The sequence below is a fragment of the Homo sapiens genome, chromosome 10 (genome assembly GCF_000001405.40).
Source record: "Homo sapiens chromosome 10, GRCh38.p14 Primary Assembly".
In the NCBI taxonomy this organism is placed as follows: domain Eukaryota; kingdom Metazoa; phylum Chordata; class Mammalia; order Primates; family Hominidae; genus Homo; species Homo sapiens.
This window is the reverse complement of record NC_000010.11, coordinates 113992917-114008113: the sequence shown is the minus strand read 5'-3', so window position 1 is coordinate 114008113 and position 15197 is coordinate 113992917. Positions and strand designations below refer to the sequence as shown.

The following is a 15197-nucleotide window of genomic DNA, read 5'->3' as shown; positions in this document are numbered from 1 at the left end:
GAGGTAATTGGGTCATGAGGGTACAGCCCTCATGAATGGGATTGGTGCCCTTATGAAAGGAATTCCAGAGAACTTTCCTGCCCTCTTTCCTCCACATGAGGATACAATAAGTCAGCAGTGCAACCTAGAAGAGGGTGCTTGCCAGAACTCAACCATGCTGGCACCCTGATCTCAGACTGCCAGCCATCAGAACTATGAGAAATTTCTGTTTATAAGCCACCCAGTCTATGGTACTAGTACAGTCCAAACTGACAAAGACAGCCTGAAAATGGCAACTTCTTGACTAATGTTAAAAGTTCACCCTAGAGGCAGGTCAAGGAAGGTAATTACAAATAAGCACACGAATAAAAGCCTCAGCAATGCGACCCACCAGTTTATAAACATCAACTGTTTAATCAACTCTGTTAACTGATTTCATATCACTAAAAAAATCTAGGATGGGCATGGCGGCTCATGTCTGTAATCCTAGCACTTTGCGAGGCTGAGGTGGGAGGATTGCTTGAGGCCGGGAGTTCAAGACAAGCTTGGGCAACATAGTTAGACTCTATCTCTACAAAATAATGGTAATAATAAACTAAAAACAAATAAATATTTATGATGGCATTTAACAACTCAGTCTTGATTAAATTAACATCCTGAACCCTCCTCTAAAAATGGAAAGAAGGCTGGGCGTGGTGGCTCACAGCTGTAATGCCAGCACTTTGGGAGGCCAAGGTGGGAGGATCCCTTGAGCCCAGGAGTTTGAGGTTGCAGTGAGCTGTGACTGTGCCACTGCACTCCAGCCTGGGTGACAGAGCAAGATCCTGCCTCTAAAATAAATAAATAAATAATAATTTAGGGACAGTGGGCTGTAATTATTGCTTTTAACAACTTTATTGAGATATAATTCACATATAATACTACTTACTCATTTAAAAAGTACAATTCAGTGGCTTTTAGTATATCACAAGGTTGCACAATCATTGCCACAATTATAGAACATTGTCATCATAGCTACAAGAAAGCCTGTATCCCTTAACCATTACTCCCTAATCCTCCGTGCCCTTCATCACCTCCAGCCTTAAGGAACCACCAATCTACTTTCTCTCTACAGGTTTGCCTATTCTGGAGATGTCATATAATAGAAATAATATAATTGTGGTCCTTTGTCACTGGCTTCTTTCACGTAGTAGACTAAGTGCTTTCAAGGTTCATCCATGTGGCAGCATGTATCAGAACTTCATTTCTTTATATTGCCGAATAATACTCCATTATATAAATATACCACATATGCTTCATCCACTCACCAGTTGATAAACATGTGGGTTGTCTCTACTTTTTGGCTATTATGAATAATAATGCTGTGGACATTTGCATACAAATCTTGGTGTGGATGTGTGTTTTCAATTCTGGTATATATCTGGGAGTGGAATTACTAAGTCCTATGATAACTATGTTTAATCTTTCGAGTCAAAGTAGCTTCTAATTAAGATATTAAAACTTTCTTAAATATTTGCTCCAACATATATTTATATATAATTCAAGAAGGCCACCCTTCGAACCCTCATTATAACTATAGTTCACTCTATTAAGAGAATCAATTCAGACACTCCTAAGACATACAAATCTCTCATTATTCAGTGTCAGACTTTTTCTATATTGGTGTGGATTTATGTATGTGACACTTTCTCCAAAATAAGGTAACATCTTGGAAATGATTTTTCTTGTTGTAATAGCAACGCTGAGAGTAGGAGAGACAAAGGCAAGTAGAGACACTGAGATCTTGAGCTGCTTATACAAAGTCATAGCAAGTGTGTGGTGGCTTTCTTGGCCAGGCGTGGTGGCTCACGCCTGTAATCCCAGCAGTTTGGGAGGCCGAGGCCAAGGTGGATCACCTGAGGTCAGGAGTTCAAGACCAGCCTGGCCAACATGGAGAAACCCCATCTCTACTAAAAAAATACAAAAATTAGCAGGGTGTGGTGGCTGGCACCTGTAATCCCAGCTACTTGGGAGGCTGAAGCAGGAGAATCGCTTGAACCCGGGAAGCAGAGGTTGCAGTGAGCCGAGATTGCACCATTGCACTCCAGCCCAGGCAACAAGAGCAAAACTCTGTCAAAAAAAAAAAAAAAAGAAAAGAAATGGCTTTCTTTTTGTGGGCATAGGTCCCTCTCATTTTTCCTTCTTAGGAATATTGACAGTGTTTGTGTGTCTGAAGCAAATAGGTACCCACTCTCTCAGGTAGATCAGTGTAAACATTGTTTCAAACCAAGATGTTCTGAAATTTTCAGGAATGGGTACATGTGCTATTCAAGTACCTTTGGGAAAATTTGAAATGAATACTTTTTATTCATTTTAGGATGACACTCTTATTCTTATATGTATTTTTCCTGTAAAAGCTTTTAATTATTCTTAAATTTTTATCTGAAAACCTTGCTTCAAGGTTTGCTTCCCTATAAATCTTGGCACTTTATTCATTCATTCATTTCATTCACTCATTCCCTCAAAGTCATTTGTTTATTGAAAGCCAATGGGGGTTGCAAGGTAGTAAGAGAGAGGTTGAAAAAGAAATTTGATGGGGTTGGAAAGGTTGGCAGAAGTGGAACTTGTAGGGCTTTGCAGTTTGGTAGTAAGAGTTTTGGGTTTCATTCTATATCCACTGGGAAGCCACAGATGGCCTTCAAGGAAGGAAGTGACATGATATGTCTAAAAGATACCTCTGGAGTATTGGGGATATTGAGTTTATTGCACCAGTCCAGAAAAGAGATGATGGTGGCTTGAATTACGGAGGAAACAGTGCAGGTGGAGAGAAGAAGATGGGTTGGGGACGTATCTTAGAGGTAACCACAGAAGATGAGAGTGGAAGAGAAAAAGAGAGAATCAAGCTTGACTCCCAGGTTTCTGGTTCAGACATTGGGTGGATGGTGGTGCCTTTTGCTAAAATGAGAAAGACTAGGGAATAACTGGTGTGGAGGAAAAACTCACAAGTTTATTTTTGGATATGTGATATCTAAGATGCTTGCAAGGCATTCAAATAGAGATCTGTGCAAGCCAGGAAGAGTTCAAAGGTTCAGCTCAGGCAGGAGAAGCAAATTTGGGCATTTATGGCCTATGGCTGATACTTACACCTGTGGGAATTCTAAGGTCCCCTAGAGAGAGAATAGAGAGAGGGCTCAAGGCTAAGCTTTGGTGGACTCCAACATTTGAAAGTTGAATGGAGGAAAAGGGTCTTGCAAAAGAAACTCGGGAGAGGTAGACATAGAGCAGAAGGAAAGCCAAGAATGTGGATGCCACAGAAGCCAAGAAAAAAGAGTGTCTTCAGGGGAGGGTAAGAAGCTAGAGGTCTTGACCAGCACAGTTTCAGTGGAATGACAAAGTGAGAAGAGTAAGAGCTGGATTGTGGTGGGTTAAGGAGTGGAAAGGAGACAGATACAGTGAGCACGGGAACAATTCCTCTGAGAAGTTTGGATGAGAGGAGCAGATAAATAAAGACGTAGCAGAAAAAGGACACAAAGGGAGGTTTTCTTTAAGATTAGAGGTATGCCAACATGGCGAAACCCCATCTCTACTAAAAATACAAAAAATTAGCCGGGCGTGGTGGTGCGCACCTATAGTCCCAGCTACTTAGGAGGCTCAGGCAGGAGAATCACTTGAATCTGGGAGGCGGAGGTCACAGCGAGCCGAGATCGTGCCACTGCACTCCAGCCTAGTGATGGAGTGAGACTCCATCTCAAAAAAAAAAAAAAAAGAAAGATTACAGGTATGAATATACTTACGCACTAATTTGGAAGAAGGAAGGGAGGGAGATGGTCATAGTAGCAAAGCCCTAGAGGAGGCAGGGAGAATGGGTGATCCAGGATACCCGTTGGCTGTTGGTAGAGTTTGGCTGTTGATAGGCAGATGGACGCTTGCTCAGTGGTAAGAGAAGACAGGATGGAGAAGGTTCAAATCAATGCAAACAGGCACACAGATTTAAGTTACTTCTGGCTAATTTTTGTTGTGTTTTTTTTTTTTTTGAGACGGAGTCTCACTTTCTCGCCCAGGCTGGAGGGCAGTGGTGCAATCTCGGCTCACTGCAACCTCTGCCTCCCAGGTTCAAGTGATTCTCCTGCCTCAGCCTCCCAAGTAGCTGAGATTACAGGCACGCATCACCAAGTCCAGCTAATTTTTTGTATCTTTATTAGAGATGGGGCTTAACCATGTTGGCCAGGCTGGTCTCAAACTCCTGACCCCAGATGATCCACCCGCCTCAGCATCCCAAAGTGCTGAGATTACAGGCATGAGTCATCGTGCCTGGCTATGTTTTTATTTTTTAAAATATATGTGAGGCAAGATTAGCAGTTGACAACTGGGGTGTAGAAAGAGAGAAAATGTTTGGGAATAGTATCTTGTTCAGTGGGAAAATATGCTTACTAGAAAGAGAAAGAATTAAACTATCAGGCTATGTTGAGGACCACTGGAGATAATACATTTAAAGTGAAATCAGATTACCCACTGACTGTGAGATGACTTTCGGTGGCACAAAACACAGGTTAAATAACAGTGAATTTCAGAGTGAGAACACTATTCTTTTTCAATTCTTTTTCAGTTAATAAGGAGAAAGTCTCCATGTGGTATGAGTATGTCGATAGCATCTCTTAACTTCTGCTACTGTCTCTTTTTATTCAAGACAGAGCAGGCTTCAGACTTGGAGCCTTCCATCTGAAATTACGTCAAGCAGGAATCTAATAATACTCCTTTGCTTTCATGGTACTTAATTTTTTATGACTGTTATGTTTCTGCCAAGTGATACTGGTTTTTCATTTATGTTGATGATATGCAATTTCTTTTAAAAAATAGAACTGAGTTTACAAAGTGAGGAAATATAAAGAGAAATCCGGAGCTGGGCGTGGCGGTGTGCGCCTGTAATCCCAGCTACTGGGGAAGTGGAGTGGGGAGGATCTCTTGAGTCTGGGAGTCAGAGACCAGCCTGGGCTACAGAGTGAGACCCTGTCTGAAAAAAAAAAAAAATTGGGTTAATAATAGAGTAGGGAACCAAGCACGGTGGCTCATACCTGTAATCCCAGCACTTTGGGAGGCTGAAGTGGGCAGATCACTTGAGGTCAGGAGTTCGAGACCAGCCTGGCCAACATGGTGAAACTCCGTCTCTACTAAAGATACAAAAATTAGCCGGGAGTGGTGGTGCATACCTGTAATCTCAGCTACTGAGAGGCTGAGGCATGAGAATCACCTGAACCTGGGAGGTGGAGGTTGCAGTGAGCCGAGATCGCACCACTGCACTCCAGCCTGGGGAACAGAGTGAAACCCCATCTCAAAAAAAAAAAAAAAAAATAGCATAGGGAGTGTTGGGACATGACCAAAATGGCGACAGCAGCATTGAGAAGATGGGATGCTGGGACACACAGCAGTACCTTGCGTGGCCTCTTCTGATTTTCATCAGGGCAAAATACTTTTAGCTTTTTTCTCTCTTGTACATCACTCACATAGAGAAGATGGGGCGTTGGGACACACTGCAGTACCTCATGTGGCCTGTTGTGATTTTTATCAGGGCAACACGGTTAGCTTTTTTTCTCTCCCGTAAGTTACTCTTAAAGACATGAGACTCAGAGGCCTTGAGGAGGGATGCACAGCCCTGTGGGGTAGGTACCACACAGATGAGTTAGGAGTCCGATTTTTCAGGAGCTGCCACATGGGCCAATCCAGTGACAAGTGCTCGAGTTAGGTGACATGGAGACCCCAGGCGGAAGAGCAGGCAGGCATGCTCAGTGCCCACCCCTCCCCTCCCAGACAGCTGCTGCTCCTGTAATAGAGCCCTCCTGGCTGCCATCTGTACCCATCAGCCCTCTGCAGCACTATCATCCTGCCTGGAGCCTGTTGTCATAGTATTCAGAGCGACCTGCCTGCTTTGCTGTGCGAAAGGGAAAGCTGGGAACACATCTTCAGCCAGTCCAACTTCATTCTCCTTTGGCCTTTGTGAGGGCCTGGATACAACCATTGGATGAATCCAACACTCAAATATTCCCAGTCAGTGGTGCCTTAAGGGAACTTACTTCCTAAATTGAGATTGTGCCTTTCTTGGTAGAAGAAGGAAAAAGTCTCTCTTCTTTGTAATGTATGTGCTAGATGTTATGTGCTGGAGGCACTGCTACTTGACTCTAGCAGTGTAGTATGTTGCACTAACTCTCACCCATTGGCCTGGGACTGTCCCCCTTTTAAAACAGAAAGTCTCACATTCCAGGAACCCCTTCAATCTCGGGCAAACTGAGATGATTGGTCACCCCAATCTTAGGTGGGGAGACAAGTGTATTGGTGTTTCTCTTGGACACCAAAGAATGTTTGGATGATTGTGTCCAGAGAAACTGTGTTTTGACAAAGTCAAAGAGAATTAAATGATTTCCTCATTCAGATTTAGACCACAGTGAAAATATGAAAACGGTGCTGTTTTTGTTAATATAAGTTATGTAATGCACCGAGAACAGGGTTTGTTGCATCAGCAGTGGCTTTAATTGGGCTGAGCCAGGAAAATCCGCAAAGATCCATTCTTCTAGGCATGTTTATAAAACCTGCTGTGTTCGTAGTGAAATCTAAAACTCCAATCAACTTCCTACATGGTGTGCCTGTCTGCAAAACAGGTTATGCTTACCCAAAATATTTGGAAATTGCATGGTGTGCCACCTCAAAATAATGCCAGCTACTGTGATAAACGACTCCAAAATGTACAATTGCTCAATGCAATAGAAGTTTTTTGGTGGCATAAAGTCCAAAACAGGTGTTCTTGATTGGCTGGCAATTCTCCCCCAAGCAAGGATTCAGGGACCCAGGCTCCTCCCATTTTTTGGTGTCCCCAGCATACGGCTTCCAAGGTTGTCAAAATTATCTGCATCAAACCAATGGAAGGGTAAAGAACATATGCAGTCACATACACAAGAGATTTGGGGGAAGGCAAGTTGGATGTGGCCACATCACCTACTCACATTCCACTGGTGACCTCAGTCGCAGGCCACAGCCAGTGGCAAGGTGGTCTGAGATATGCTGTCTGGATGCTGCCTAGGAAGAAGAGGAAATGGGTTTGGTGAAAGCTAACAGTCTCTATCACAGATGGGTGTCTTGTGTCTTTCTCACTATAAAACACAGACAGATTTAATCCTGAAGGCAAGAATCCTGAGACTGCAGACAGAGTGGGATTAGATTCTGGCTGATTCTCTTCTTCTTTCTAAACATAAGTCATCACACTTTCTAATCCTTGGAACATGTGAACATGTTACTTTACGTGGCCAAAAAACACTTTGCAGATGTGGTCAAGTTAAGGACCTCGAGATGGAGAGATTATCCTGAATTATCTGAGTGGACCCCATGTAATCACAAGGGTCTTTCTAAGACAGAGAGAGGAGAATCGGAGAGAGCTGGAGATGCGCTGGTTCCTGAAGGCTTCTTAGTGCAAATGTCTGGTGCTTGGGCTGGGAACACTCCAACATTGAGGAAGCGGAAGAGCTAGTAACCTCAGGGTATAGCCAAACTGCTGACATTGTGGTTCTGGTCTCCAAAGTGGAGTTGCCAGATAAAATACACCCAATTAAAGACTAAATTTCAGAGAAATGATAGAAAATTTTTCAGTATGACCCACGCAATGTTTGTGATATACTGCAAAATTATTTGTTGTTTTTCTAAAATTTAAATTTAAATGAGGGTCCTGTATTCTTAATTGCTAAACCTTGCAACCCTATTCCAGAGGTACATGTCCTGAGAGAGAACCAGGCAGCAGCTCTGTTGCCTTTTCTGGTTCAGTATTAGAAGTTGCATAGCATCCTTCTTGCCTAGATAGAGGAGGGTCAATATCACATTGTAGGAGAAGCCTATAGGATGAAACACACACATATATATATTTACTCATGTGGCCACCTTTGGAAAATACAGTCTTTGGAGTAGTTAGTTCCCTTTTGTAAATTTGAGAAAACTCAGGTACAAATGTCTTGGTGAGGTGATATTGCCAATAAGTATGGAGTTAGGATTCAAATCCATGGCTGCTTGGACCCAAAATTAGTTTTTGAGCTCATGATAACTGAGAATGGGGAAAGTTTTATAGTTAAACATGCATTCTAGGCTTAGAGAAGCAGATTTCCCGAAGATCAGAGGAGAGATAGGCCAGATGTTACGTTCAGGGACTTTCAGATGAATGATATCTCAAGAGAGTTGGGATGCTCTCTGAAATGTCACTCTATATCTGCCATTGCAAGTGATTCTGCTGTGGAAGAAAAGGGGAAGGGAACTAATAAAACCAGGGACTGCATAGGAAATTCTCTGATGCTCTCAGATTTTAAAAGGGCAGGGACAAAAATGGGAAGGAAGAGCACTTAACCAAGGACAAATAGAAATTAGCGGCTGAGAATTGCAGGAATAGTAGCAGGAAGTGTTTACGCCCCAGAAGATCTCTGTGCCAACGCCCAGGAAACCAAGCAAGGGCTCGACTTACTGCTTGGGGTCAATGGTGCAACATTTATGGGCCCGAAAAGCAAGGAGCTCTTCCAAGGAAAGAACCTTGAAACTCAACCAGCCTCTGGAACACAGGAGAGGATCAATTCATATTGGTTGAATGCATGAATGAACAAACAAATATGTCTAGGAGGGAACTGAAGAGAGAGGCCACAGTAAGAAAACACTGGGTTCTCCTAGTGCAGATCTATAGTGGAGTGAGATGCTCCCAGCACAGACTCTAAAGGAAAGAAGAGCAAAGTGGCCAAACATCAGCCTAATGTACAGAAGGAATGATTAATGACAATTGAAATGGGTTACTGGGCAAAAATTACCCCCATTCTATTGCAGAATTGGCAAAAGAAGTTTTGATTTGGAAGCTTCTTTGGTTTGAAATCGTTAAAATGTTAAACGTAGACATGTGTTTTAAAGCACTGTTCTGCTTTAGTATAACTTAAAGAATCTTCTAATCTTGTGTCTTTAAAATATGTATTTATTTATTATTTGAGACAGGGTCCCACTGTGGCACCCAGAGTGGCTCCCTGGCTCAAGACGTCTTCCCACCTCAGTCTCCTGAGTAGCTGAGACTATGGGCATGCACCACCATGCCCAGTTAACTCTTTATTTTTTGTAGAGATGGAGTCTTCCTATGTTGCCCAGGCTGGTCTCAAACTCCTAGGCTAAAGTGATCCTCCCACTTTGGCCTCCCAAAGTGTTGGGATTCCAGACATGGGCCACCATGCCTGGCCCTATATTTTCTTGGTAGGAAAAAACTTTAGTTCAATTTCCTGCTAGCCAGATAGTATCAAACATTGGCTTTTACTCAGATGTTCCTGGAGTTGAGTGTAATTTACTAACAGAAGCGGTATCTTGTGATTATTTCAGTACTTATTACTAAGAAAAACAGGAAACTTTTTTGCATGCAAAATGAATGGTATGATACAATAAAAGGTTTGCTTTTGGTTTGGTTGCGCTTTTAAAATTTGTCTGTTGATAAAAAGTAATTTTGACTATTGTAATCCATAAAAATGGTTTGATTTCCATTTATAGATTTTATGAATAAAATGCTAGAGTTTTCCATTATGCTGTTGTGAGATTTGCATTCAAAACGTCTGCAATTGAAACCATTTTAGTTTATTTAGGTATTCAGAAACCTGTTGACAGCCACTCAAATAAAAGACTTTTTTTTTTTTTTTTTTTTTTGAGACAGAGTCTTGCTCTGTGGCCCAGGCTGGGGCACAGTGGCATGATCTCAGCTCACTGTAACCTCCACCTCCTGGGTTCAAGCGATTCTCCTGCCTCAGCCTCCTCAGTAGCTGGGATTACAGGCATGCGCCACCATGCCCAGCTAATTTTTGCATTTTTAGTAGAGATGGGGTTTCACCATGTTGGCCAGGCTGGTCTTGAACTCCTGACCTCGTGTTCCGCCCACCTCAGCCTCCCAAAGTGCCAGGATTAGAGGCGTGAGCCACCACACCCGGCCAAAAAAAGACATTGAACACATTTATTTGATCATTACTTTTCGAATTCTTACCATGTGCAGGCTGTGTTCTAAGCACTGGTAAGAGAGCAATGAATAGGATGGGGCCAATTAACAAGTAATCAAATAAACTAAAAGAAAATATATATCTCATGGGTAATGTATGCCATAAAGAAAATAAAACAGGTAAGAAGGCATGTGGTGATTGCAGAGGCTTTTATTTTAGATACTTAGATAAGATTTTTATAAGGGGTGACATATGACCATAGATTAAATGATAAGAAGCCATCCATTCTGTATATAGTAAGTATAATAAAACAAATATTATCCCTATATCAAATCACTATGAAAGTCCATTTATTTAGTGAGTGAATGAGTGAGTTAGTTCACAGGTTAGCCAGATGGTGAGCTGTGGGAGCTGATCAGCTAGTCCATGTGAGGCTGTTGTTTTTGCCTCTGAAGTCAGCAGGGCAGGCACGTGGGGAGAGAAGTGAGGGAAGTGAGGACAGGGATGAGCTCCAACCTCACTGGTTCCTCAATGCCTTCAAGCCTCCACCCTCGGTGCACTTGGTCTAGGGGCTGAGTGTGCACCTGGCCAGGAGCCACAGGAGCTGAAGGAAGTGATCCTGTGGGAACCAGAGGAGCCGTGGCCCAGCTGCTGGCCAACAGCATGAGCCAGTGGGGGAGTCTCAGCGTGCGCGAGCTGCAACAGCACCTGGAGCCCTGCAACGACCTTCCTCGCAAAAAGAAGAAGGCTGCTGCTGCGTTTCTGTCTTCCAAATCTTGAGCACAATATCCCCTGTGGGCCACACCAACCTGGAACCGTGCAGGGAGGGGAATAGAAATGGAGCTCCAGCTTTGCTGAGTGGACACAGCAGGAGCCCACCCCAGCTTGCTCTAGGAACAGCAAGATGCCCCGGGTGGCCCAGCGCCCTCGTCTTTGCTTGTGTCTTGCATCCTCGGTGCCGATCTGTTTAATACTATAGCCTGCCCTCCCATAGCCCCAGCTCAACACTTGCAGTCCTCATTAATTTCACTTTATTTTCCACAGCACTCATCACCTTCTTACATGCTACATAATTAATTGATATCATGTCTATTGCTTGTTATTTATTTCTCACCAGTAGAATGGAAGCTCCGCAAGGGTATAAACATGTTCCTGTTTTGTTCCATGATATATCCCAAACACCTAGAACAGCCCTGCCACATTGTGGGCCTTTAATACACACTGTGGAGTGAGAGAACCAACATGGCAAAAGCAAAGAAAATAGGGAAACTGTTAGGGTGTCAGGGAAGAGCCTGGAGAAGTCAGCGGCTGCCAAGTCAGGTAGCATAGATTTTATACTAAGTGTACTGAGAAGCCTTTGGGAGGTTTTTGGCAGAGGAGTCAAGTGTTGTGTTTGATATTTTTAAAAGATAACTCTGGTAATGTGTGGGGGGTATATGGGAGACAGGTGAGCCTAGAAGCAGGAAATCCAGGTAGGAAGTGGTTGCAGTTGTCCAGCTGGGATGAGGGTGGCTTGGTCTATGGTGATTGCAGAGAAGGGGAGGCCGGTGATGAGATCCAGCATCTACTCTGATGGCTGAGCTATCAGCACTGCCAACATTTTAGATGTAGAGGATGAAGATAGCTCAGGGTTTTATCCTGAGCTCCTATGTGAAACGGTGAATCCATTAGCAGAGATGAAGACTGGAAGAGAAGCAAGCTTAAGCACAGAAACTGAGATTTTCATTCACTCACTCAACACATATTTACTGAGCCCCTCCTCTGTGCTGGGAACAGCACTTGGTCTTGGGGATACATAGGTGAACAAGCCAGACTAAAATTCTTGCCCTCAGGAGATTACATTGCAGGGGAGGAGAGAATGACAAACAGGAGCATCAGTAGGAGGACAAGAGGAGGGGATAAGGAAAGGGGAGAGGGTGAAGAAGGTTGTAATTTTAAGTTCAGTGGGCAAGGAAGGCCCGTTTAACCTTGGAGGAGGTGAGGGAGGACATTTGGTGAGAGAACTTCCCAGGGAGATGGCATGCCAAGTTCATCTATGGCAGAGCCTGTCCTTGGTAGACAGCAAGGAGACCAGCCTCAAGGGGAAGGGCCGCAGGAGAGGAGGCCTGAGGAGTGATGGGGTGGGGTTGGGTGTAGAACAGACCATCTCATGGATCTGTATTTGGGGTGAGATGGGAAGCCACTGGAGGCAGAGGAGTGACATGAGCTGATGTAATGTTTCCAACACGCTCATTGGACATCCCAGTGGAGACATCAAGGAAGAAGTTGGATGAGTCTGAAGCCCAGGGGAGAAATCATAGCTGCATTTGGGCACCATCAGTGTACCATGGAATTTAATGCCAAGGGACTAGATAAGGTCAACCAGAGAAATACTGTAGATAGATAGCAAATAAAGGCAGCAAAAATCCAAGAAGAAAGTGTCATGCAAATACCCCAGACATCTATCTGATTCTTGGTTCTGCTTCTTTCCCATCAGGGAGCCACTATTGGGAACAATGGTTGATCTAATTCACATGCAATGCTCTGAGAGTTCATAGTGAAAGAGATTTACAAATTCAAGTTGCATATTACATTCGCATGCATGTTGTAGCTCTTTATAAGAAAAGCTGCGACTATAAGCAATGTCTGTGGGCAGATTAGCTGAGGGGGGCAAGAAGTGATCAAAGATTCTCAGCACACTTAGCTCCAGGTAAAGTTCAACTTTTGCTCCTTGAACCATAGGCAGTTGTTGGCAGAGACCATTGCTTTGTGTAATAAGACCATTTAAGGTCACAGTCAGCTGGAAGCTTTTGGTCAAAAGTTACCCTTGCCTGAGCACAGATGGTTGGAGGCTAGCAGTGGTCTGGCAAACCAGCTATGTGGGTGGGATGAGGTTGGGGAGGAGCTCTGATTTGTAGTAATAGCCGATTTCCATGGTGCAAATACTTTATCAACAGCCAATTTCAAGTTAAGTCAATTTCAATGGTTTAACAACTGGCTCTCAAAATTCTAGCAATTTTCTTGAGCATTTAACAGCTGGCTCCAGCACACCAGCCTATTTCTCTCCATAACCCATGGCAAGTCTACACCTTTAAAACCTTGATTACTGTGGCTTCTCAGATTTTCTCCACTCCCTGCGTCCATGACTATAGCTCACATTGACAATGGTCAAATGCCCAGCACAATGACATTTATCTTTGGAATTGGGAGCTCCTCTCTGTTACAGTCTCTTTTAGCTAAGACCCCAAGAAGACATCAACAATGTTTGCTGAATTGAACTACTGTCCTTGTCATTTCCTACTGCAGGATACTTATCCTCACTTGGAGTGAGCCATATATCTGCTTATACATGAGACTCTGCATCATTAAAGTATTTTGAAACCTTCTATAGGGAGGGCCTTAAACTTGATGCTGGGGATACAAAGGGCACAGATTTGTCTTTCAGGGACTTATAAAAGAGTTGAAAAAATACAAAGAACACCTAGAAAGGTTGGTATTATTATTTTTAAGAGCCATCAAATGTTCCATGCAAAATGAGACACCCAGATGGTGAATGCTACAGGGGTTCATAGTAGGTAGAGTTAGGCAGGTTTGCACGGGGAATGTGGGGCTGGCATCTGTGCTAATGCATAAACACTGTTTGAAGCTTGGGGCTGGGATTCCATTGACTTTTCTCATGGACTTTGGAGAATGGTGCATCTAAGAAAGCACCATTCTCCAAAGCACTTTAATGATCAGCAAAATGCTGTGGACCTCAGGATTGTACATTGGAACGAAGACAGACCATATATATGGTATTTATTGATTTAAATCTATTCATTATTGTCCCCACCCCCACCCCAAATTCTACCCTATTTCTAAAAGTCATATATGGAAAATTCACCATCCTTGGGGACTCATTTCTATGAAGGGGTGGGAAAGAGACTGTTTACTAAGCTGATCCACTGCATTCAGAGCCCGGTGGCCTTTCTCCCATATGTACGTTGTGTTTGGAGAAATGGGTCAAGCATAGTTCATCAGTCAGTGGGTTTTCTACCAGTCCCTGTAGCCTCTTTCTTCATGTTCATCAGCACAGCTGGCGTGAAGCATCTCGGGTGGGTCATGTGGCTGGGGAAAGAAGTGACATATAGCTGTACCAAAGTGTGGCCACCTCCAGATCTCTGGGACAGGAGGCACTTTGTGGTCAGTAGAAGACACGAATGTCAGCCACCGGCCTTTCTGTATATGTGATGGTGACTTGGAGGAACTGCAGAAGGCAGAAAACATCCAGACAGGAAGGCTGTTCTCAGTAACATTTGTGCCGCATTCTTCCTCGCCCCTGGTGAGCCTTGCAACACGGAGACTGGTGACTCTGGGAGCCAAGTGGCTGATTGGGAGCCCCAGGAGGCAGCAAATACAAACTAATCTTCAGGCCCACCAGTTTCCCTGAAACACACCACTTGCTAAACTGTGACTTTCAAGCCAAGAGAAGCAATTTTCCATAGCTCAAGTCTGGATTTTACCTCCTGGAAAAGGCTATGAAACCACATGGGTCAGAAAGCCAGTGGTGTGGGGTTTTTTGCTGTTTTTCATGGAGAGCCAGAGGGACAACTCCAAGATTCCAGATGTATGGCAGCTGGATAAAATGTGTGCACAAATCTGCACAGCAGCTTCAGAAAGGGAACTGCTAGAGGCTTCTAAAAACAGATCATTGACTTCCTTCTCTTTTCTTTTTTCTTTTTCTTTTTTTTTTTTTAGGCTTATCAGAACCTCTGGACATAGATTTTTGGAAAGAAATAAAGAGAAAAAAACAAGCCCTGTTGGCACTGGTTGTTTTGTTTTTTCAATTTTCTTGTCAACTGACTCATGCTAAAAAAAAAAACAAAAAAACCCCAAAAATGTCAGTTTCAATCAATTTCAATCCCACAGACCAGAAAAATAGAGAATTTATAGGCAACTATCGGAAACAAAGGAACCATCTGGTTTTTTTAAGTATAATTTTTCTCTAAAATAGTTTTCTCCAAGTAATAAGATCATTTATTTGTCCTCACTACACCACTATGATTTTTTTTTTTTTTTTTTTTTTTTTTTTTTTTTTTTTTTTTTTTGCCATAGAGCCTCAGAGGTCAACTTAGGTGGGTTTCTTAGAAAAGGGCCCTTCTCCAGAGTGAGTGGGCTTTCACATCAGAAGGACTGTCGGGTGATTGGCACCTCTGTCCCTTTAAGTAGGGAGGGCTTTGCTGTCATGGGAAGCAGCCCAGGCCACTGGTGGAGGTCATCCAACCCTGGTTATCCCGGTTCATTTGT

General features: G+C 43.3%; 1 annotated feature.

Annotated features, from left to right (window-relative positions):
• Positions 10010 to 10568: an enhancer, noted in NCBI's record as "H3K27ac-H3K4me1 hESC enhancer chr10:115757305-115757863 (GRCh37/hg19 assembly coordinates)". NCBI's record gives its function as "activates a minimal SCP1, AML or CMV promoter by ChIP-STARR-seq in primed H9 embryonic stem cells {active_cell/tissue: H9 hESC(primed)}" and the evidence as "EXISTENCE:reporter gene assay evidence [ECO:0000049][PMID:30033119]".